The sequence below is a fragment of the Homo sapiens genome, chromosome 2, assembly GCF_000001405.40.
Source record: "Homo sapiens chromosome 2, GRCh38.p14 Primary Assembly".
Taxonomy (NCBI): Eukaryota; Metazoa; Chordata; class Mammalia; order Primates; family Hominidae; genus Homo; species Homo sapiens.
In genome coordinates this window covers 201805851-201828232 of record NC_000002.12, presented here as the reverse complement: position 1 = coordinate 201828232, position 22382 = coordinate 201805851, and the positions used below count along the sequence as shown (strand labels likewise).

Genomic DNA, 22382 nt, shown 5'->3' with positions numbered 1-22382 from the left:
TTCCTTTTAGGTTGCCTACTGCTCATTTCCCTTTGGAGATCCTGTCTCACCTGGGACCTCAACACGTCTGAAACAGGACTCCTCTTTCTCTCCAAACCAACTTCTTCTCCTATTTCTGTTAATAGAGCTACAATTCTCCTCGTCAGTCAAACACAAAACCAGTTATGTTTGGCCCCATCCTTTTCCTCCTCATGCTCACATTACCAAGAGGTGAACTCTTCTTTGTTACTGATTTTCACATTCCTCTCCATTCTTATTGTCACTACCATAATATCAACCTTGATTACTAATTGCTAACTAGATCCTTGCTGCTCAGTGCTTGGCTCTTGACCAGCACCATCTGCATCAGCTTGACTCATGTTAGAATGCAGAGGCTCAGGCTTAAACCCAGACTTGTTGAGTCAGGTTCCCGGTCACTTGTCTGCTCACTGAAGTTTGAGAGGCACTAGGCCAGACCACATCAATAAACCCTTTGGCTCACACCTGTAATTCCAGCACTTTGGGAGGCCGAGCTGGGAAGATAATTTGAGGCTGGGAGTTTGAGGCTGCGGTGAGCCATGACTGCACCATTGCACTCTAGCCTGGGTAACAAAAAGAGACTCTGTCTCAAAACAAACAAACAAACACTTAAGTGGAATCCCTGACTCTAGTCTCTTATTTCCTTTCATATATCCTACAGACCACAGTGATATAAATTTCTTCTGATCATATTATTTTCTCTCAACTCAAACTTAATGACTAATGACTGTACTGTCTAAGGAATAAAATCCACATTTCTTTCTTTTTTAGGGACAGGGTCTTCCTCTGTCACTCAAGCTGGAGTGCAGTTGTGTGATCATGGCTCACCTTAGCCTCAAACTCCTGTGCTCAAGCGATCCACCCACCTAGCCTCCCAGGTAGCTGGGACTACAGGCGTATGCCACCATGCTCAGCTGATTTTTAAATTTTTTGTAGAGATGAGGTCTTGCTATGTTGCCCATGCTAGTCTTGAACTCTTGGGTTCAAGCGATCTTCTTGACTTGGCCTCCCAAAGTGCTGGAATTATAGGTGTGAGCCACCATACCCTGCCTAAGGTCCACATTTCTTAGAAAATGAGGCTCTCAGCCACCTACCCAATATATTTCCCCAGACTTGTGTATGCTGTTTCACTAATATATTCTGTATTTCAGGCCAACAGAACTAGAAATGCAGTATGGCACTAGTGGGAAAGAATTTTAACTAAGAATCACTTTTAGCAATGGCATAAGCTGGTTCTATAACCTCAGGCAAAATGTTTGTCCTCTCAGATCTTGGATTTCTCCTCTGCAAAATAAGGAAGTTAGACCAGGCCAGTGCTTTAAAGATTTTTTGACTGCAGTCTACAGTAAGAAATATATATGTATCTGGTATTCACATCCATACATAAAAATATAAGTACAGTTACAATTGGAGCAAAAGTTGCAGAAAATAATACTTGCTCTTTCAAAATGTAATGCATGCTAATATTTTCTATTCTCTTCTCATCCATTTATTTCATTTTTTAAAATGCAGGTTGCTAACCACCATATTGATTTCATAACGCACTAATGGAACCTGGAGATTGCAAAACACTGTGTTTCCTCTAACCCTAACAAACCATGACTCTGGGGTCCTCTTCCTTGAACATATCCTCTATTTCCCTACTCTGTACCTTTGCTGAAAACATTTTCTCTCCCTGTAACATGCTCTCCTATTCTAGACTGTTGAAATGCAGTGTGTTTAAGATCTGAAACTTTTTTTTTTTTTTTTTTTTTTTGAGACGCAGTCTCACTCTGTCGCCCAGGCTGGAGTGCAGTGGCGCGATCTCGGCTCACGCAAACTCTACCTCCCGGGTTCACGCCATTCTCCTGCCTCAGCCTCCTGAGTAGCTGGGACTACAGGCGCCCGCCACCACGCCTGGCTAATTTTTTATATTTTTAGTAGAGACGGGGTTTCACCGTGTTAACCAGGATGGTCTTGATCTCCTGACCTTGTGATCCACCCGCCTCGGCCTCCCAAAGTGCTGGGATTACAGGCGTGAGCCACTGCGCCCGGCCGATCTGAAACTTCTTGAAACTAGAAGATATCTTTGATGCCGTTGCACATCTACAGTACTAGATCGTATTTCTTTCTTGATATTCTACACAAGTGTCCTATAATAGTATTGGTGTGTATTTCTTATCTCTTGTTTTTGGCTGTAAGTCCCTTGAGGGCAGGGATCATGTCTTTGAAGCATTTAGCACAGTGTCTGGTATGTGAGAGTCACTCAAGCCTGAAAATCTCACTCTCTCACAGTTATTCTTTCTCCAATCATTCTTCTATTTAATCAACACCTGTAGGTCCTTGAAGCCTTCCACTCTCTTCATAACTATCAGCAAGCTGCTTATCTTCACTTCCTTCCCTCAGATTAGACTCAGACTAGATGCCACTGGCCAGCACATTAACTTCTGTCTTGATAATCTCTTCAACTCTCTTGCCTACCTGTCTCTTCCTTTCACATGTCTGGCAGAACTTCAACTCTGACTCAATCCAACTGTCTACATTCTCTGCTCCTCTATTTAAATTGCCAAGCATTACCATAAAAAAAAAGTCCCGCGATGGTGCAGATAATGTAATGGTCTTCACCCTTACCAGGGTCCTTAACATACCATGAAACATTCCTATTTGATTTCTCTAGTTAGCTCCCTATCCCATTCTCCACACAGCTAACTGGTATTTTAATTTTTTTTTTTCACTCTCTTTAACCCTTTGTCCTCAAACATTCCTTTCCAAAACCTTACTTCCAGGACTGGGTTAGGTTCCCTTATTATGTGTTCCCACAGTATTCCTAGTTACCATGGTCATAGGCTTTAGCACTTTGCTTCTCACTGCCTATTTATTTGTTATAGCACAACTTACATATTTCTTTTTTTTTTTTTTTTTTGAGTTGGAGTCTTGCCCTGTCATCCAGGCTACAGTGCATTGGTGTGATCTTTGCTCGCTGCACCTCTGCCTCCTGGGTTCAAGCAATTCTCCTGCCTCACTCTCTCGAGCAGCTGGGGTTACAGGTGTGCGCCACCACACCTGGCTAATTTTTTGTATCTTTAGTAGAGACGGGGTTTCACCATGTTGGCTAGGCTGGTCTCAAACTCCTGACCTCATGATCTGCCCACTCTGGCCTCCCAAAGGGCTGGGATTACAGGCGTGAGCCACCGCGCCAGGCTAACAACTTATATATTCCAAATGTACAAAAATTAGTATCATTTACAGTATCTTAAGATAAATTTCCTTTGAATGGGAGCTTTCTTTCCAGTACTTTGAGCTCTACAAGCTGTATCTAGAAAATTTACTACTATGGAAAATGAAGACTGCTTACATCAAGTATGGGGGAAGGGGAAGGGCCTGTGGTTTTTCTTTTTGATCAATTGCTGTAACACTGTCCTTCAGATGGCTGAGGGTGTTTCACATTTTCTTTAGACATCATTAGGCGCTGAAGCTCTTGAAGGATAACTTTGATGATATATGAATTCTGCCATTTTGCTAGCGCTGATATGGCTCTTGGGTTCACCATTCCATTAGAACTATTAACTCTACTCATATTAATTTTTGTTACAAATCTTACAAAGGGGAGTTCTTCTGGGTATTTAGGTCCACATTCTATTTTAAGGCTGTATATTTGGCTTTCATAAATTGCCTGAGCCCATGGTGGCTGCCATCTTGCATTGCTGTTGCTTGAAGACTGGCCCTCACTGCCTATTTAAGTTCATATATCTTACTGGACTTTAAGCTCATTGAAAATAAGAAACAGAACTTATTCATTATTGAAACCCCAGAACTTATTACAGCAATAAGTACTCAATAAATATTTCTTAAATTAATGAATAAATGAATACATAAATAAATATTAGTTAAATGAATAAATACATCATATACAAATTTCATACGGTTATTTTAAGAGCCAATCAATTAATTAATGCCAATAAAACCTTAGGGAATGAAAAGTATGAAATATAAATGGTTTCTAAAATTTATAACAGATGTAGAATTATAGCTAATTAAGAGTTTATTATTTCGATTCTAATGACTGGAAAAATGGGAGTTAGGGCCACATATATAATAGGATCTGCTAGTACAAGTATTGCAGACTTCACCTTAGACCACAGTAATCTGATATGAAGAAGGTATTTATTTTTTGATGGCCTAGCTTTACTTTTTTCCTTTTAGTATAATTCTCCTTCACTCGTTTATTCATCTAAAGGCACATTTGCATGTAGCCATGACTGACAGCATTAGGTTGCTCAGAAAACATTGCTCCATATCTTAAGAAGCAACTCAGCAACTCTTTTTCTTTTTTCTTTCCTTTTTAAAAAAAAACAAAAACGAAAACAAAACAAAACTTTTTTCTGGAATATCAGTGATGTCCATCCTCTTATTTAGTATCATAGGACTTTGCTTTGTGAGACAGTCTGTTTCAGAATTCTCCTTCTGTGGGCAAGCCAGGAGAGGGTCCTGACCCTTAACGTACTCACTCTGACATTATGAGGATGAAGCCCTCCTGGATGCTGAGACATATACTGGGCCAGGTCTGTGTGCTAAATAAAACAGCGGAGAAAGAGAAGTGAGTGAATTTAGTGGTGCTTAGATAGCATCCTAAAGCAGAACATTGACTTGACTGTCAGAAGGTATTACGAAGTACAGAATTTTAAGAATAAGGTGCAAAAGGAATATAACCAGGTTTTCTGAGAACCCACTGTTAAGGTCAAACACAGTGTGTCTTTCTAACTGGCTGTTCTTAGAACAAAGCCTGTTTCTCAGCACAGAGATGCTCATTTTAAATGACTGGCACTGAACACAACGACGCAGGAATTTTTCACTCTCCAAGTGTCCTTGGAGGCAAGTCAAGTACACATACCTTATAAGTTCTTTCTACTTATTTAAATATTTTTTCTTCCAAAAATACAACATGAGTTATTCTTTAGCAAGCTTGCATACAATTTTTAAATATCTTGTGATTTTTACCTTTATTGTCAATGAAAAAATGTTGGATTCTGCTCAGATAGTGATTAAAATTAGATTAAAAATAAGTGCAAAAGTTTTATTTAGAAGGTAAACTCAAGATCCTCATTTATTATTGCTGATGAGGGGAAAAGGGACAGCAAAAGTCATGGGTAAGGAAGCAGGACCAAAGATGGATGTGGGAACAATAAGGTTCTACTAATCACAATAATGAAAATTTCCATGATACTTTTCACATTATAATAAAAGTTTTATCATGCCATAAAATATTAACAGATTCATTATACAAGTACCAGGTTATTTTTCTCAAGTGTTGTAAAATGCTCGAACAACTCACCATGTATTCAAAAACGAATGTCAGTGTCTCTTTGGTGTGGATTATGTCATGCAGGAGCACAATATTGGCATGTTTCAAACCCTTCAGGAGAGAAGCTAGAAAAATTAAACAAAATGTTAAATCCATCATTGATAATGAAAGTGCTGCTCTAAAGATATCAGACGGTATATATTTTTTCAACATTTCAAATCAAACATTCTGGTTATTTTACTGCTGGAAAACAATCTCTTGTGGCAAAAGAATATTTAAAATTACAAAGAACCTTCATTATTTCAAAAATGGCAAATCATTGCAACTTATTGTTTCTACAGGCTAGAGTGGTTGCAAAAAATATGTTTCCATTTACCTAATCAATTTCATCAAAGCACTCAGAGCACTAAATGCTCCCCTCTGGGAATCTCATCAATCCAGCTTCAGAGCTACAGGAGGAGAGGCCTGGAGAGATAAAGGGCTTTGGAGGAGCAGGAAATGGAGTGTTCTGCCTTCTAGAGCAGGACTTTGTGACATATGACCAGTCTCCAAAATTCTAACTCCCACAAGCGGTCAATAGGGCCGGTGGATATGATTGGTGGGAGACAGGGATAAAAGCATGGGGTAAAGAACTGTTGAAACATGATAGAGACTGGAGATGATTTCTTAAAGGTAATGTTGCAAACCTCTGTGGAAAGGAGAAAATGTGAACTTGAAAAGAGGAGTCGGCCAAACTTGGGGAGCCCAGGGAGGTGAAAGTGGAGAAGGCTGAGGGCTTTCTCTTGCCTCTTCAATAATCGGTTACTAAAGGCAGCCTTGAAGGAAAGAAGTCATCACAAAAGGCCAAGTGACTGGGAGGGGTTTGAAAGTGTGTCTTTGGAGCTTCTGGAGATAGGAAGACCTCTGGCTTCAGGAAAGCAGAGACTAGAAAAGGTACAATAAAGAGACCATGAGGCCGGGCGTGGTAGCGCATGCTTGTGATCCCAGCACTCAGGGAGGCCGAGGTGGGTGGATCACCTGAGGTCAGGAGTTTGAGACCAGCCTGGCCAACGCGGTGAAACCCCGTCTCTACTAAAAATACAAAAATTAGCCGGGCGTGGTGGGGCCTGGTGGTGCACACCTGTAATCCCAGCCACTCGGGAAGCTGAGGCAAGAGAATCACTTGAACCTGGGAGGTGGAGGTTGCAGTGAGCCAAGATTGCACCACTGCACTCTGGCCTGGGTGACAGAGCGAGACTCCATCTCAAAAAAAAGAGATGATGAGGCTCACCTCAGGGCAACCCTGCATGAAGAAATCGTGTCTTTAAAGCTTAAAGGAAAGGAAAAGTAAAGGATAAAAACTCAAAGCATTATTCTGTAGCCTATGCCTGCATATCATGAATCTCCTGCACCAACTCCCTCCCAGTGTAGAATTCCATAAGATTAAAAACAACTGAAATACTCCCTTAAATTTAGGAATAAAATTATTTTCTTTAGGCATCAACCTATTTTAGTGAATCTGTCGTTTTGCCCTCCTGACAGCCATTCTCCCTTCTAGCGGGGGCACTTCTATTTTCCCCTGGAAAAACAACCGTCTTCTTCCTCAGACCATGCTCATCTGGTGGAACTGACCCGGCCTCTACCCAAGAATGGGCATATGACCCAGGGCTGGCCAATCAGAGCACGGCACTCCCCTATCCCTAGTGATTGGTTCAGAGACAGGCACAAAACCCAAGTTTGGCAGAGCCCTGTTTTGCTGGTGCCATTAGAAAAGAAGTGCTTTCTTTTCTATTGTGAGAGCTAAACCTGTGGGATTTAGCCAGGAGTTGCTGGGGTCAGATTACCAACACCTGGTGACAACATGCCTGGGAATAAAATGAATGCACAGCAAACCAGTGTTGGGTAATGAGAGACACGGCTTCCTGATGATATTGCTTATGCCCTACCAGCCTGTAGTTATCAGATCTGTGAGCCAGTGAATTTCTCTCTTTACTTGTCAATTTAAGCTGACTTACGCCGAAGGAGCTCCATCACACCTGTTAACCTTATTTGCTGTAATGACTAATGCCTTAATTTTTACTTTTTGCCCCCAGAGTCCTTATGGGCTAAATTTATTATTTCACTTTGACAAATGTGTTGCTTTGTAAATGTAATAAACAGCTTCTCAGGCATCTGTTTAATCTCCCTAGTCTCAGACTGAAGGCCACATGGGAATTGAGGGAGTGACTTTCCCCCTTTTTGAGATGCTGCCACACCACCTAGTACCACACTCAGCCGAGAGTAAGCACTTAATTTGTCAAACATATTTATTGAAAGTCTTAAGGAGAACTGTCTGTGGAGCCAGAAGCCCTAATATGAATCCTGGCCCTGTCACTTCCTATCTGAGTAAGCTCTGGAGAGTATCTCAACCTAAGTCTCAATTCATTCCTTAGGAAAAGAGACATCGTCTTTTCTGACTTACTTCATAGGGTTGATATGAGGATGGAATCAGATACCATTTGTGGAACCTTGGTAAATGTAAAGCATTACAGAGGCAAATTAGAATTAGTATCCCTTCCCTCTTCTTGCCAGCTTCTTGCCCCTGCCTTTCACCCTGAACCCCACTAAACGTCTACTTTCAGTCTTAAAATCTTGTTTATGGTATGTTTCTGCTAGAGTTTTGAATACCTTCCATATTTTCTGACCATCAGTTGAGAATGCTTATACTTTAGGTGTATTTTTATTTATAAATTATCTCATAAATTTCTCTCTTTCCCCCACCCCTATGTTACAAAGCATATAGCAAAATTAGATTTCAAAAGGATATGGTAAAGCTGAAATTGCTAAGAATATTGTTAAGATATTTTAATTTTATGTTTAGTATAATTTTAGTCTCACCTAACTATATTACTAAAACTCCAGATGCTTCTTTTTAAATCATGATGGCATGATTTGTTCATTATGATGGCCTCATGCTCTCACTTGCTAAAATGGCCAAGGAAAAATATCTACTTGGAATGAGGCTTCCTGCTAACAATACTGGGTATAAACTTCATGTCATCTTCTTGATAATTACAGTTTTTGTAGGAGTAGGAAAAATGTCTGTTTTGTATTTCTCTGTTGTTCACTTACATTGGAGTTACTAGTTTTACCTTCAACCCACAGTTTCTTTGCGGAAATCTTTTTAACCATTCATCCATTTTATGAAGATTAACCACTCGTACACGTCAAGTCCTCTCAACTTTTTATCACATACAAATCTATTGGCATTACCTTCCAAATTGTCCAGAACCCCTCCCTTGCCATATCTTCTGCCAGCACCCTGGACCAAGCCACTATCATATGTTGGCTGAATTATTGCAAATGCCTGCTTCCCTGCTTTCCTCCTATGGCCACTTCTTCACAGGACAGCCAGACACTGCTATCCTTCTCAAATGAGTTAGGGCATGTGCCTCCTGGTTCCAAACCCTCCAGTGGCCTCTCATCTCCTGCAGAGTAAATTCAAAGGACTTGCGATTTCCTGCCCACCCTACTGTTGGCTGTGCCCATCGTGACCTGTCATCTCCTCACACTCCCATCTTTGCTCACTTGGCTTTAGCCTCACTGGCCTCCTAGCTGTTCCTTAGACACACTTGCAAACACATTTCCACCCCAGGATTTTACACTTGCCAATGTCTTTTCCTGTAATCCTCTCTTCTCACCTCTCTGCCTTCATCCTCCCTCACTTTCTTCAGAGCCTCCGCTCAAGTGATACATATAGGTGCAGACTTCCTTGACCATTCTAGGTGAGATAGCAGCCCTCTACTCCATCCCACCTCAGCAGCCCTCCACCCCATCCCACCTCTACCCCATCCTACCCTCTCTCTCTGGGCCCTGCTTTATTCTTTTCCATAGTGCCTGTCACCACCATCTGACATTTTATATATAAATATTTGTTTATTGTCTGTCTCCACAATTGAGAATATAAACTCCATTGAGAGTGGGCACTTTTGTTTTGTTTTGTTTTGTTTTTTTTGCTTATTGCTATATACTCAGTGCCTGGAACAATGTCTGGCACTCAATAAATATTTATCTTTAAATTAGTGGTCACTAATTACCTAATATCATTTCTATACCTCTAGTTGGTTGGTAAAGGGTGTTTCTGTTGAAGATGCTTTTATTCCTTCTTTCTTTTAGTTGTCTCCCTCATTAGATTATAAATATTCTATGCTTTATGGCCATTCCTAGTACTGCTTTTCTGGTGCCCTAGAACTACTGAAATCGTTATATGAAAACTGTGAATGTTGCCGAATAATGAATAGGGAATTCAGATGAAAGAGCAGATGATGTTTAAAGCATTTATCTCACAGTATTGTTTATCATTTTGGTCCATCCACCAGAGGGATCTGAAATGCCTACAGCCTCAGATGTGTGGGTCTTAAACCCAGGAAGACAAGGTCTTTCTTTCTTCTAATTTTAAGGACATTTTATAAACTGCACAGCAGGATGTGATATCTGTCCTGCAGACTAAACAGTTGAGGGACACAAAAGTCAACTGAGAAGGGCAAAGATCCTAAAATTAGCATTCTGAGTCTCATAAAATACTGTTTTTTTATTATTAATGTATCCTATGTATACTTATTTTTGTTTTTCTTCAAAGAAAAGACACAAAAGTAAATAGGGATGTCTTTAAGGCTCCAGAGGAAAGCTGATTCTCCAAGTCCTAGGATGTCGCTCTATGTAATGAAGGCCTGGTAGTCAAAGTCGTCTTTAGGCTGTAAACTCATTGAGGGCATGGATTGAACTTGCCCTTGTCTTTGCATCTCCAGCACTAGCACAGGCCTGGCATGTGGTGCTCAATAAGTGCTCATGAATTAATGAAAGCCAGGCCAATTGTAATGAGTTTATGAGGAATTATATAATGAGTCAATGATGGAGTCCTCCCCAACCCTCATTGGACATTGAATAAAAAAGTGTTTCTAGACCCTGTTGTTACATTTCCTTTGATCTGAGAATCATAAATCAAGTCAATGAGTCAAGTTATGCATTCCGAGAAAAGAAATAATTGAAATAATTTTAGATAAATGTTAGAGAAATACTAAGACAAGTGTCAGATAAGTAGTTGTCTTGGTATCTTTGGAATTGTAATGCTGATCACATACCATTATCCTGGCATTATTTTGTTTTATAAAGACGTAACTATGCACAATGAATTTGCTGTATTTGTCATGTGATATGATGGTGTTCAATGGCAGACTTTCTGTCAACCAGGCCTACCCTAGACTATTTGTGGTCATTGGCAATTCAGAAGTTCTAATCAGCCTCCTCCCCTGCCTCATTGTATGACCTTAGGGAGGCTCCTTAGCCTATTTTTGGCTCAGTTTTCTCATATATGGATTGGGAATCATTACTTTGTAATGTTTTTCTACTAGAGAATGATCTTAAAAGATTCTTAGCTGAGACTGTTTCTAATTTAAACACTGCAATTACCGGCACTGTAGAATCAATGATAGAATCAGAATTGATGAATATACAACATGATGTATTATTTTCTTTAAAATATTTCTTTTGGACACACAAGTGGCCAACAAACATATGAAAAAATTGCTCAACATCACGAATCATCAGAGAAATGCAAATCAAAACCTCAATGAGATACCATCTCACACCAGTCAAAAAGGCTATTATTTAGAAGTAAAAAGTTAATGGATGCTGGTAAGCTTGAGAAGAAAAGGGAGTGCTTATACACTGTGGGTGGGAATGTTAATTAGTTCAGCCACTGTGGAAAACAGTTTAGAAATTTCTCAAAGTGAGGCAGGGCAGGCAAGTCCCAAAACTGGGGCTTAGCCTGGGAGGGTTCTTGGCTTCACCCAGGAAAGAATTCAAGGGTGAGCCTGTGGTGTTAGACAGCAGCTTTTATTGAAGCAGCAGTGTTCAGCAGCAGCGGGTGTACCTCTCCTTGCAGAGCAGGGCTGCCACATAGGCAGTGTGCCCAGAGTAGCAGCTCATAGGTAGCTCTACAGTTATATTTATACCCACTTTTAGTTATATGCAAATTAAGGGGCAGTTTATGCAGAAAGTTTTAGGAAAAGAGTGGTAATTCCAGGTTGTCAGGTTGTTGCTACGGGAAAGGGTGGTAACTTTCAGGTGTTGCCATGGCAATGGTAAACTGACATGGCACACTGGTGGGTGTGTCTTCTGGAAAGCTGCCTCCCCCCAGGCCCTGTTTTGGCTAGTCCTAAATTTGGTTTAGTGTTCAAGCCCCATCTCTGGAGTCGAGTCCCATCTCCTGCCTCAAAAAAACCAAAAACAGAATTACCATTTGACCCAGCAATTCCATTCCTGGGTATATACCCAAAGGAAAATAAATCGTTCTGTCAAAAAGACACCTAGACTTTTATGTTCGTCACAGCACTATTCACAATAGCAAAGACATGGACTCAACCTAGGTGCCCAGCAATGGTGGATTGGATAAAGAAAATTTGTACACTGGCACCATAAAACACTATGCAGCCACAAAAAAAAAAAAAAAAAAAAAAAACCATTTCCTTAGCAGCAACATGGATGCAGATGGAGGCCATTATCCTAAGTGAATTAACCCAGGAACAGAAAACAAATACCACATGTTCTCACTTACAAGTGAAAGCTAATAACTGGGGGTATTGGGAACACACAGACATAAGATGGGAATAATAGACACTACACCAGGGACTCCAAAAGGGGAGAGGAAGGGAGAGGGACACGGGTTGAAAAACTACCTATCAGGTACTATACTCACTATTTGGGTGACAAGATACCTCAGCATCATGCAATATACTCATGTAACAAACCTGGACATGTACCCCTTGAATCTAAAATTAAAGATTAAAAAAATACTTCTTCTGCATTTTCCTTAATGTTTATATAAAATGTATAATAAAAACAGATTTCTATTTTTATTTTTACTGTTGCTAAACAATAAATACTTTAGTTAAGCATTTCCAAATTCATCATAATAAAGTAGAAGGGATTTTAAATAGAATAGAAATGGATTCTAACAACTCTGATTACTATCTCTGTGACCTCAGACAAGTTAACTAACCTCTCTGAGGCTAGAATTTCTTTATCTCTACAACAAAAATAGCACATTTTACTTCCTAGGGTTGGTATAAAGGTTTTAAAAATATACATTATGTAGGGGAAGGGGGAGATTATGTCATATGCCTTGTCCTCAAAAAAGATTAGTTATATGACTCCTTCCTAAGAAAAATGCTATTAACAGGCTGAAAGTCCTCAGTTTAAACCAAAAGTTGACCACTTGAACAAAAATATTTAAAACAATGCACATTATATTAAGATATTGCTATAAAGTTTCATAAAACTAAGAAATGTTGTACTATGTAAAAACATAACACATTAGCCTATTCAAATGAAAGTATTTCCTCCTAGTTGTAAAAATCAACACTTAAAATACAATTCTAGAGTCAATTATGAGAGATTTCCAAGGCACTATGAAGGCCTCTGCTTTTCTTAATTAGCAAAGGAATGAGGGTGGTAGGGAACACATCTATTTTGTGTATTGCTGTGTATCTAGCAGTTCGGCAGAGTACCTGGTCATAGTAGGTGCTAAATGAATATTTCTACAGTGGGTGCGTAGAAAGCCTATGAATTTTTGAATCAGAGAGATTTGGTTTGAATCACCACCATATAGTGGAATAATATTAATAATATCTATCTCTAAAGATTGTTAAGAGGATTGAAAGAAGTATGAAAAGCACTGACACATGTATTAAGATATATTTCCCTTGGGAGGCTGAGACACGCAGATCACTTGAGGTCAGGAGTTCAAGACCAGCCTGGCCAACATGGGGAAACCCTGTCTCTACTAAAAATACAAAATTAGCTGGGTGTGGTGGCACATGCCTGTAATCCCAGCTACTCCGGAGGCTGAGGCAGGAGAATTGCTTGAACCCCGAAGGCAGAGGTTGCAGTAAGCCAAGATTGTGCCATTGCACTCCAGCCTGGGCAACAAGAGCAAAACTTCGTCTCAAAAAAAAAAAAAAAAAAATGTTCCTTAGTGCTGTTCATACTTTTGCTAGTTTCATAATATCACATGTTAAGGTCAAATGAAAATAGTACTCCAAATGACCAGACTAGTAAATTGCCACATGTATTCTACCTGTATAGAAAGAGACCATATATGTAGTAAAATCATACTTAATAAATCTTTGGCTGCTATACCATCAGGGCAGCCAAATTGTTCAGGAAAAGCAATTCCTGCTTCAAGGCTTTTTAAAGAGGGCTGCATTACTTGTTCAGTTTTCCTGCACGTGCCTTTCGGTTGCCTTTTTAGCTAGTGACCCTGGATTTTAGCTAATGAACTCCAGCTGTTCTTACTTTGCCTTCCAGCCCTTCTCATTTAACCTCCTGTCTCCCTGGTCTCACATCCTTAAAGTTCTTACAGGAAAAATGGGACAGTGCCAAAGTTTTCGAATAAAGCCTCATATCTTCTTGAGGGGAGAGGGCTCTTTTAACAAGGGCTCCAAGCTTTTATAGTGGTGTAAAAAGAAACATTCATTGTTGGAAATTGGATTCCTAACAACCTCCAATGTGTCAGAAATCCTCTTGTGGTTTTTAATATTACACGAGCAAAGCATTCGGTAAGGTAAGTCCATAAAACAAACCAAGAAAGTCCACAGTTGACTACTAAATGTAATTGTAAACACCTGTGATGGAGAGGCAATTCCTCCGTAAATATGCAATGAAAGAAACATTTAGCATACAGAAGAAAACGGATCCAGGTTTTCTGAACCATGCTGAGAACCATCTGTTAGCAAACCTGGCAAAAGGTTTCACTGTTACAGTTAAATGTCAACCTGAAAAACTTGGCTGTGGGCAATATCTAAGCAAAGCCAATCTTAAGCAATTGGCAAACTCAAGCTCACAAAGGAAACCTTCCTCTTATGCGGGTGACCTGGGAATTTCTATTACGTTCACAAATACTCTTTAACCTATCCATACATCTCTTTCCAAATCTGATCATCCTTTCATGGAGACCATTAATAAGTACATTAGTTAATGCAGTTTCCATTATATTAAACACTTAAAACCATGCCTTCTCCCAGAATGCACCTGATCCTACCAGGATGAATCTCTGGCTAAACCAATAGCCCATTTGGCCCTTCCAATTAAATTCAAAATGATGTATTCCTCAGGGGCTCTGAAAGACTTTTGAAAAGGGTATCAAATTCAGTTATAAACTCATTTTCTGAATTGCTTTTTCCATGCTTGTTTGCATAACCTATCCTTCCAAGCTCAGTTCAAAATCTAGTGACTCCATCAGTCACACTGAGACTAACTTGCTCTCATCTTAGTTTATGTCTTTTATACACTTGTAACTTGAATCATGTGCTCTGTTAAGACTGCAAATGATAGAACAAAGACATGGGTTTCTCTTCTCATCCTTCACAGCATCCAGCAGCATACTCTGCATATAGCATGTGCTCAGTAAAGAACAGAAGATAAGTAGTTAAAAGTGGGAGAAAATAAGGCCAGGGAAGTGCCATTTCTCTGGGATTTTGCTGAAATGCATAGCAATCCTATCATCATCTTATTTCAAATGGCTCATGCAATAAAGGTTGATAAATTATATTTTTAATGATTCATTTCACTATGTTGGCTTCTTGATGTTTATGTTATAAAGTATTAGTTATCTTGATGGTAAATAAGACATTACCCAGGAAAAGAAGAATGGAATAAAAATGGTCAACATTTGTTGAACTCTGAAAAACTGACTCTGTGATAAGTGCTTTATATACATATTCTTGTTGAATACTCATAACAACTCCATGAAATAGGTACCACTATTATCCTCTTCCTGCAAGAAACTGAGTAATAAATAGCTAAAGTAACCTACCCAACATCATACCACTAGTGATTGGTGGACCTGTGCTGCAAACCCAAGTCCATTTGACACCAGGTTCCTCACCCATTTGCTGTACTGTCCAGGGCACAGAGAAAATACAGGCAGAACACTAAACATGCATGCCTTCTGGAGAATCTCCAAGTGCTAGCTAACAACATGTTATGTTCAGGCAAATTTCCCAGTAAGAATTTGTGTGATTATATATTTTCTCTTTTATAGGAATTTTCTGAGGTTATATAGGTATAGCCTTAGCACCTAGCATGAGGCCAAACACATGGAAAGTATTAGTAATTGCTCAGTGAATTTATAGTTTTGGTCAAGTGATATAATAGTTTTAAATCTCAATTTCCTCAAAATTAAGTAATAAAATAGCAGTGTAAATTTCTTGAAAAACTTGTATGAAAAATAAAAATGTAATTATAGTATTCCAGAAGAATCAAAACTAGATGCTGAATGGATCAATGCAATACATTTTTTACCAAATCAAGGACTCAAAACAGATCTATTGGGTCCATTTCTGCTGTTCTTACCTTCTCGGATAGCTGTAAATGGGACTCCTTCCTCTGCATTCATGCTGATGACTTTTAAAGCCACTAGTTGTCCATTTATTCTAGAAGAGAGGGATTGAGGGGCACACACTTATTGAGGTGGTTCAAAGCAGCAATTTATACCAAAGATGGCTTAACAAAAGCACTTTCACTTCAAAATATATTCTAGCATATAAATCTATAATTTTCTCAAAATAAAAAGTTTAACATGTATCAATACATATATAACATATATATTCCAAAGCATTTTCCCTCTTTACTAAAGTGATATATATATATATGTCCATTATAGAAAATTTGGAGCTTATTATTATTTTTCATCTGACTTATTGTAGTGTTTTTTTGTTTTTTTGTTTTTTTTTTTTTTTTTTGAGACAGAATCTCGCTCTGTTGCCCAGGCTGGAGTACAGTGGCACGATCTTGGCTCACTGCAACCTCCACCTCCTGGGTTCAAGCAATTCTCCTGCCTCAGCCTCCCAAGAAGCTGGGATTACAGGGGACCCCCACCACACCTGGCTAATTTTTGTATTTTTAGCAGAGATGGGGGTTTCACCATTTTGGCCAGGCTGGTCTCGAACTCCTGACCTCAGGTGATCTGCCCACGTCAGGCTCCCAAAGTGCTGGGATTACAGGCACGAGCCACCAAGCCCAGCCTTGTAGTGGTCTTCTAACAGTTTCCCTGCTGAGACACTTGCACTCCTACTATTTACTCTCAGCAGAGTAGTTGGAGGCATACTTTTCAAATGACAATCAGGACAAGTCACTTTTCTGTTCAAAAGCCACCATATCTCCACGCATTACTTAGAATAAAAGCCAAATTCTTGCAGCGGGCTTCTAAGTGCTACCTGATCTTCCCAGGCCACACCATTATTCTCTCTCTCTTCATTTCCTCCTACTGTCCCCTCATTCATCATTTTATTCATATCAGCTAAGTGCTGAGAATAGAGAAGATTTTAATGCAGGTATAAATCCATTGTTTTTAATACAGTGGGATTAAAATCATATTGTTAGTAACCTTTTTTCCTCCATGTAACTTTTCTCTTATAGTTCATTCTTGTACAATCCGATATTTAATAAAGATTTAACATTTCATCAGGCCGGGCACAGTGGCTCACGCCTGTAATCCCAGCACTTTGGGAGGCGAAGGCCGGTGGATCAGGAGGTCAGGAGATCGAGACCATCCTGCCTAACACAGTGAAACCCCGTCTCTACTAAAAATACAAAAAATTAGCCGGGTGTGGTGGTGGGCACCTGTAGTCCCAGCTACTGGGGAGGCTGAGGCAGGAGAATGGCGTGAACCTGGGAGGCGGAGCTTGCAGTGAGCCAAGATCGTGCCACTGCACTCCAGCCTGGGCGACAGAGCAAGACTCCGTCTCAAAAAAAAAAAAAAGTGCATACCCTCAGCCAGGCGCAGTGGCTCATGCCTGTAATCCTAGCACTTTGGGAGGTTGAGGTGGGTGGATTGCCTGAGCTCGGGAGTTTGAGACCAGCCTGGGCAACATGGTGAAACCCCGTCTCTACTAAAATACAAAAAATTAGCCGGGTATGGTGGCACGCGCCTGTGATCCCAGCTACTCAGGAGGCTGAGAGGAGAATCGCTTGAACCCGGGAGCCGGAGGTTGCAGTGAGCTGAGATTGCGCCACTGCACCCCAGCCTGGGCGACAGAGTGAGACTCCATCTGAGAAAAAAAAAAAAAAAAAAAAAAAGAGTGCATACCATCATCATGATTTATGACTTTTGATGTTGACCTTAGTCACCTGTCTGAGATAGTGTTGGTCAGGTTTCTCTACTCTAAAGTTACTCTTTCTCCCCCTTTTTCATACTGTACTTTTAGAGAAATGCCACTATGAATGACCCACACTTAAGGAGTGGAGAGTTATGCTGTACCTCTTTGAAGGTATATTATCTACATAAATTATTTGTATTTATTTGGCATGAGAGATTTGTTTCTTCTCTCCCATTTGTTAATGTATTGAATCATTTATTTATATCAGTACGGACTCATAGATATTTATTTTATACTTTGGGTTATAATTTAATACCACTTTTTTTGGTTGCTCATATTTTTGCAGCTTTGTCCTTTGGAAGCTCTTTCGGTTGGCTCCTGTGTCCCTCTGTCATAGCCCTATCATGTGGGTTGGCTTTTCGCTTTCATCTTCTTTTTTTTTTTGGCCTATTTGAAAAGTAAAAAGGTTTATCGCATTTTAATTTATATTTCTTTAACCATATGTGAAACTGACTTTTCATAAGTTTATGGATCTTTTCTGTTTTTCTTGTGATTTGCCGATTTGCCCACCTTTTTATTGAACTATTTTGCATATACTTTTCCCCAGTTTCTTTTGTTTGCCTTATCATGTCTTTGAAATTTTGTTTTAGAGTTTTATGAGGTAAGTATTTTCCTCAGAACATGGTTCTGTGAAATTCTCCCCCAAACCCTGCAAAAAGTTTTTTGGCAAATATGTTTATAAGAGAAAATGCTTTTTTTTTTTTTTGAGACAGTGTCACTCTCACCCAGGCTGGAGTGCGGTGGTGCCGATCTCAGCTCACTGCAACCTCTGCCTCCAAAGTTCAAGTGATTCTCCTGCCTCAGCCTCCTGACTAGCTGGGACTACAGTTTTATAAATAAGGTAACACTTGAACCAGGAATCTGATGGCGAGGGGGAGTCAGCTGTGTGCATGAACAGTGGAAGGCAGCTCCAGGCAGAGGGAACAGCAAGTTAAAAGTCCTTGACTGAGGCAGGAGCAGTCTGTCATTGAAGCAGGAGAGGGGAAGGAGATGAGGACAGGGAGGAGCTGAGTGTGTGCCGGGGAATGGAGGGTAGGGATTCTATAGGGTCTTGTACAGTGACCATCCAGAGACTGTTGTATTAGATATTTACAGGATATTTGTATTAGAAAATCTAATAATGCAAAGATGTCAATAATTCTCTAACGTAGAGTTTTGATATATTCTAAAAATAGCCTAAAGCAACAATAATTAAAATCATGCAGCACAAATATAAGAAAAGATAGATTAAGGAAACATGATTTTTAAAAGATTAGAACAGAAAGAATTTCAAGTATTCGTGAGATCTAATATATAATCATGGCAGCATTTCAAACCATCAGAGAAAAGAAAATCTAATAAATGGAGCTGGGGTGATTGTGAATATACAATATAAATTCCCAGTAGATGAAAGAGTTAAATGAAAAAGAAAACATAAAGTAACTAGAAGAAAAGATAAGTGAATTCTGTGTAAACTTCGGGCTGGAAAGGTCTGTGCAGAACAATCAAAGTCAGAACTCAGAAGAGAGGATCAGAAGTGTCCATGGTGCCCATGTATCCAAGTATGTTCCAGGGTGCCCCCGTTCCGAGCCACCTTGAAAACAGTTACCATGGCCAAATTGATATGAGGAAGCTTAGAATAAAATAAAATGTGGTCCTTTATTGCAGATGTTCTCAGCATTGAAAAAAGTTAAGGTACACCATGACTAAAACAGATTAAGAAAGTATAAAGGGCCAGGGGCAGGAGAGTTGCTTGAACTCAGGAGGCAGAGGTTGCAGTCATCTGAGATCGCACCACTGCACTCCAGCGTGGGTGACAGAGATTCCATTCCAAAATAAATAAATAAATAAATATATAAATAATAAAATAAAATAAAACTGTATGTCCCCTACAATCCTGTTTTAACAAGTAAAAATAATAATAACAGCATAAATACTAAGATAAATAATAAATATTTAGTCTTGTAGTAGTTATATAAAATTTTTCTTTTTTCGTTTTTGGCCAGTTAAGTGAAGCAGTGGGAGTGGAGAAGGAACAAAGAAATCTGTAACTGGTTGTGATCAAGTAGTTGTAAACACCACTGCACTCGGATCAGCTATATTTTTAAAATTAATATTTAACCACTATTGAGCCATTACTTTTCTCTCTATTGGAGTAACATAAAGAAAAAAGCGACCATCCAACTTTCCCACCTTGACTAAAAGGGGAATTCATGGATCTTTTACATATATTTAACAAAGTTGGTTGTTTACCAAAATTAGTACTTAGCTTTTGGATAAGCAGTATTTTTATTCTCCAGACATTTTGTGTATTTTGCAAATATAAAAAATCTAGGATTTATCATCTTTTGCATGTACCATAATTTGCAGAAACCAACTTCAGTTTCTTCTATAAAGGCCAGGTGGAGGAATGAAGCAGCAAATTCCAGGTTGCCATTACAAACCTCTGTCATTGTGATTTAGGGAGGGATATAAAAAACCTGTTAGAGACGCTTTACCAACTGTGCCTCCCACAGGCCTGAAGAGTGATAATTGTTCTTTGGGTCAGTAGTAGAGAATGTCTATTTTCTTTGAATTCTCTGAATTGAATGCAAGAAGGGAAAGGCTGATAAACATTTAAGTGGGCTGATTTTAATTAGGGCAGGGCAGGTTTGTTTTTCTTTCAAGGCTGTTTAAGTTATCATGTCTCTCTCCCTGTCGGCCATGGTGTCTTGCACAGGTCCTGAGTGCTATGAACTTCTATGATGTCTCACCTGGCTTTATAATATGAAATTGGGGGGGCGGGACTCTCATCTCTAAAGTCTCTCCCAGCTATGTGTCACTCACCTGCTAATCCCCTTGTAAACTGTCGCATAAGAGCCTTCACCCAGCTTCTCCAAGTTCAAGTAAGATGAGGCTGCCCCAAAAGGGAGGCTCTTCCTCTGCTCTAGGGGAATGGGGAAAAGGAGCGGGTGAAAGGGAAGAGAGAAAGAACACTTTTTTTTAGTGTTGACTTTTTTTCCCCAGGGAAATTAGACAGCATTGCCAGAGCAGACTTGGGAAGGCTCGCTCAGTAATTGCCCTGGAAGCAAGGGCCGGCCTCCGTAGACAAGCTCACATTAAATTCTTCTTGATCAACATCAGCTGCTCACTCACCCACTGAAAACCCTGCCTCAGATCCTCTTCCTGAAAACAATCACTGTTACTCCGTGGCCTTTTACTCTTGAACTTCTGGGCACGGGCAGCTTGAAGTCCCCTGGGGTGAAATGAAGTCATGGAACATGATGCTTCTTTTAGGTCTGTTAGCTAGAGAAAAAAGAAAGAGCAGAAATAAAATTTATGCAAAGTAAAGATTCAGTGCCTGGTAAAACCATTTTTTCTTTATTTGCCTCATTTTCACTCTTCAAATGTTTTCTAAGCTTCCTGTACCCCCAAAAGGCACTTTTCTTGAAAGATCCCTGAAAAAGACCATAATGGTATCAACTCCTGAAATACTACATTCTTTCTTCACCTAAAAATGTGTCTTTAACATTCAGGTTAACCTAAATCTCTTTGATGGATGTTTTGCAACTTTTTTCTGTTTAAGTCTGGCTTTTTTTTTTCATGTCCACTTAATTTATTGCTGTAGGGGAATAATCTATGGCATTGCTAATAATCATGAACTAATTACTAAAGTTTCAAATCCATAGCATACCAACTAATACTGCAGCTTGCCTTTTAAGTTTCAGCTCTGTAATTTAGGACCTTAGAGATTTTGAGAGAACTACTTTCTCGACTTCAAGCCAAGTGAGTTTCGTGCAGCCCAAAGCCAAGGATTATTTTTCCCTTTTGGTTTACAAGAAATTCCCCAAATTTGATAACTACAGCCATAAATTTTCTGTGACTTTAATAGAATTTTCATTTTATTGGTTTAGACCTACCGCAGAAGAATCAGATCCCGCTACAAAAAGGGAGTGTCTGAACTCCTTGGTTTATCAATAGAGAAAGATGCTCTCTCCTGGGATACAAATACCTTGAACGCAGCCTCCGTGGTCTCAGGCTGACTCCTCCGACAGCTGTGTGCCTCGCCTCCCTCTGAACAATGGTAGCAGCTGCATCCAGGCTGTACAGTCTTTGCACACAGCTCTTGACCCATAATCTTGTAGGTTCAAGGAGAAAACCCGCACTTGAACCTTTCCCCCACTGCCTCTCCTATCCTTGTTCTCTCCCTTTTTGCCAGAGGTCAGCAGCGTGGAGCTTTCATATGACTCACATGATGGCTCTGCCTGGAGCAGCCTCACAACTTCAGCAGTTTTTCCTTATCAGTGCAAGAAACTCCACATCAGACAGGGATTGCTTGCATTCAGATGTGCACAACTGAAAACGAGGCAGCTGTTATTGAATAGAATAAAATTTGGCACAGTTAAGGTTCTTGTTCTGGCCACAAGTTAGTGCTATTGGTATACATAGTTTTTAGGGATTGACATTGCTTATCTATGCAATGATATTTATATGATATCATTGATGGTGATATTGATATTAGGTTTTCCTGGTGCTAAAGTGGACATGTTGAGGAGTATTTTTCTCCCTACCTTTTATCTGAAAGCATTTTGGTTTTCAGACTTTAAAACAAATTTGCTACCTAGCTAACTTTTAGTAGTCAAAGAAACCACAGAATCATAAAACAGGAAAAAAGTTGAAAATATCTACTGCATCTCTTTGCCTTCAAACAATAGTGTATCCAATAGTCTTAGAAGGGTTGCCATTCATTCATTTATTCAAAAACTATGTGGTGAGCACCTATGTTGTTCTTAACTGTACAAATGATGATATTAGCCAATGGTGATGGAGAGAGAGGAGTTTGAATGAAATACTTTCTTCCTTTCTTGCTTGCTTCCTTCCACATATATGTAATTAATGTTTACTATATGTAAAGTACTATATTAACAGCACAACATGTCAAGGAATCT

The 22382-nt window shown here is 39.5% G+C and overlaps 1 protein-coding gene and 1 pseudogene across 12 annotated transcripts in view; both read right to left on the bottom strand.

Annotated features, from left to right (window-relative positions):
- Window positions 1-21804, bottom strand: part of CDK15 (cyclin dependent kinase 15) — an 89122-nt gene extending 67318 nt beyond the window's left edge. For 6 of the 12 annotated variants that reach the window (XR_922991.3, NM_001366386.2, XM_011511652.2 and 3 more), the window contains exons 1-6: window positions 21446-21696; window positions 20590-20739; window positions 20281-20375; window positions 15671-15750; window positions 5330-5424; window positions 4506-4568 (exon numbers count right to left, since the gene is read on the bottom strand). Coding sequence is in view for 11 of the 12 variants with exons in the window: in NM_001366386.2 (NP_001353315.1) it covers window positions 4506-4568; window positions 5330-5424; window positions 15671-15750; window positions 20281-20375; window positions 20590-20739; window positions 21446-21568 (606 nt within the window). In the remaining variant the exon portion in view is untranslated. Of the gene's footprint in view, window positions 1-4505; window positions 4569-5329; window positions 5425-5675; window positions 5803-6783; window positions 6868-15670; window positions 15751-20280; window positions 20381-20589; window positions 20740-21445 lie in introns of those variants that run through there. The other 6 variants (NM_001261435.1, NM_001261436.1, NM_139158.2 and 3 more) reach the window with 5 other exon arrangements.
- Window positions 3202-3696, bottom strand: UBE2V1P11 (UBE2V1 pseudogene 11; annotated as a pseudogene).
- Window positions 21805-22382: the final 578 nt, after the last annotated feature.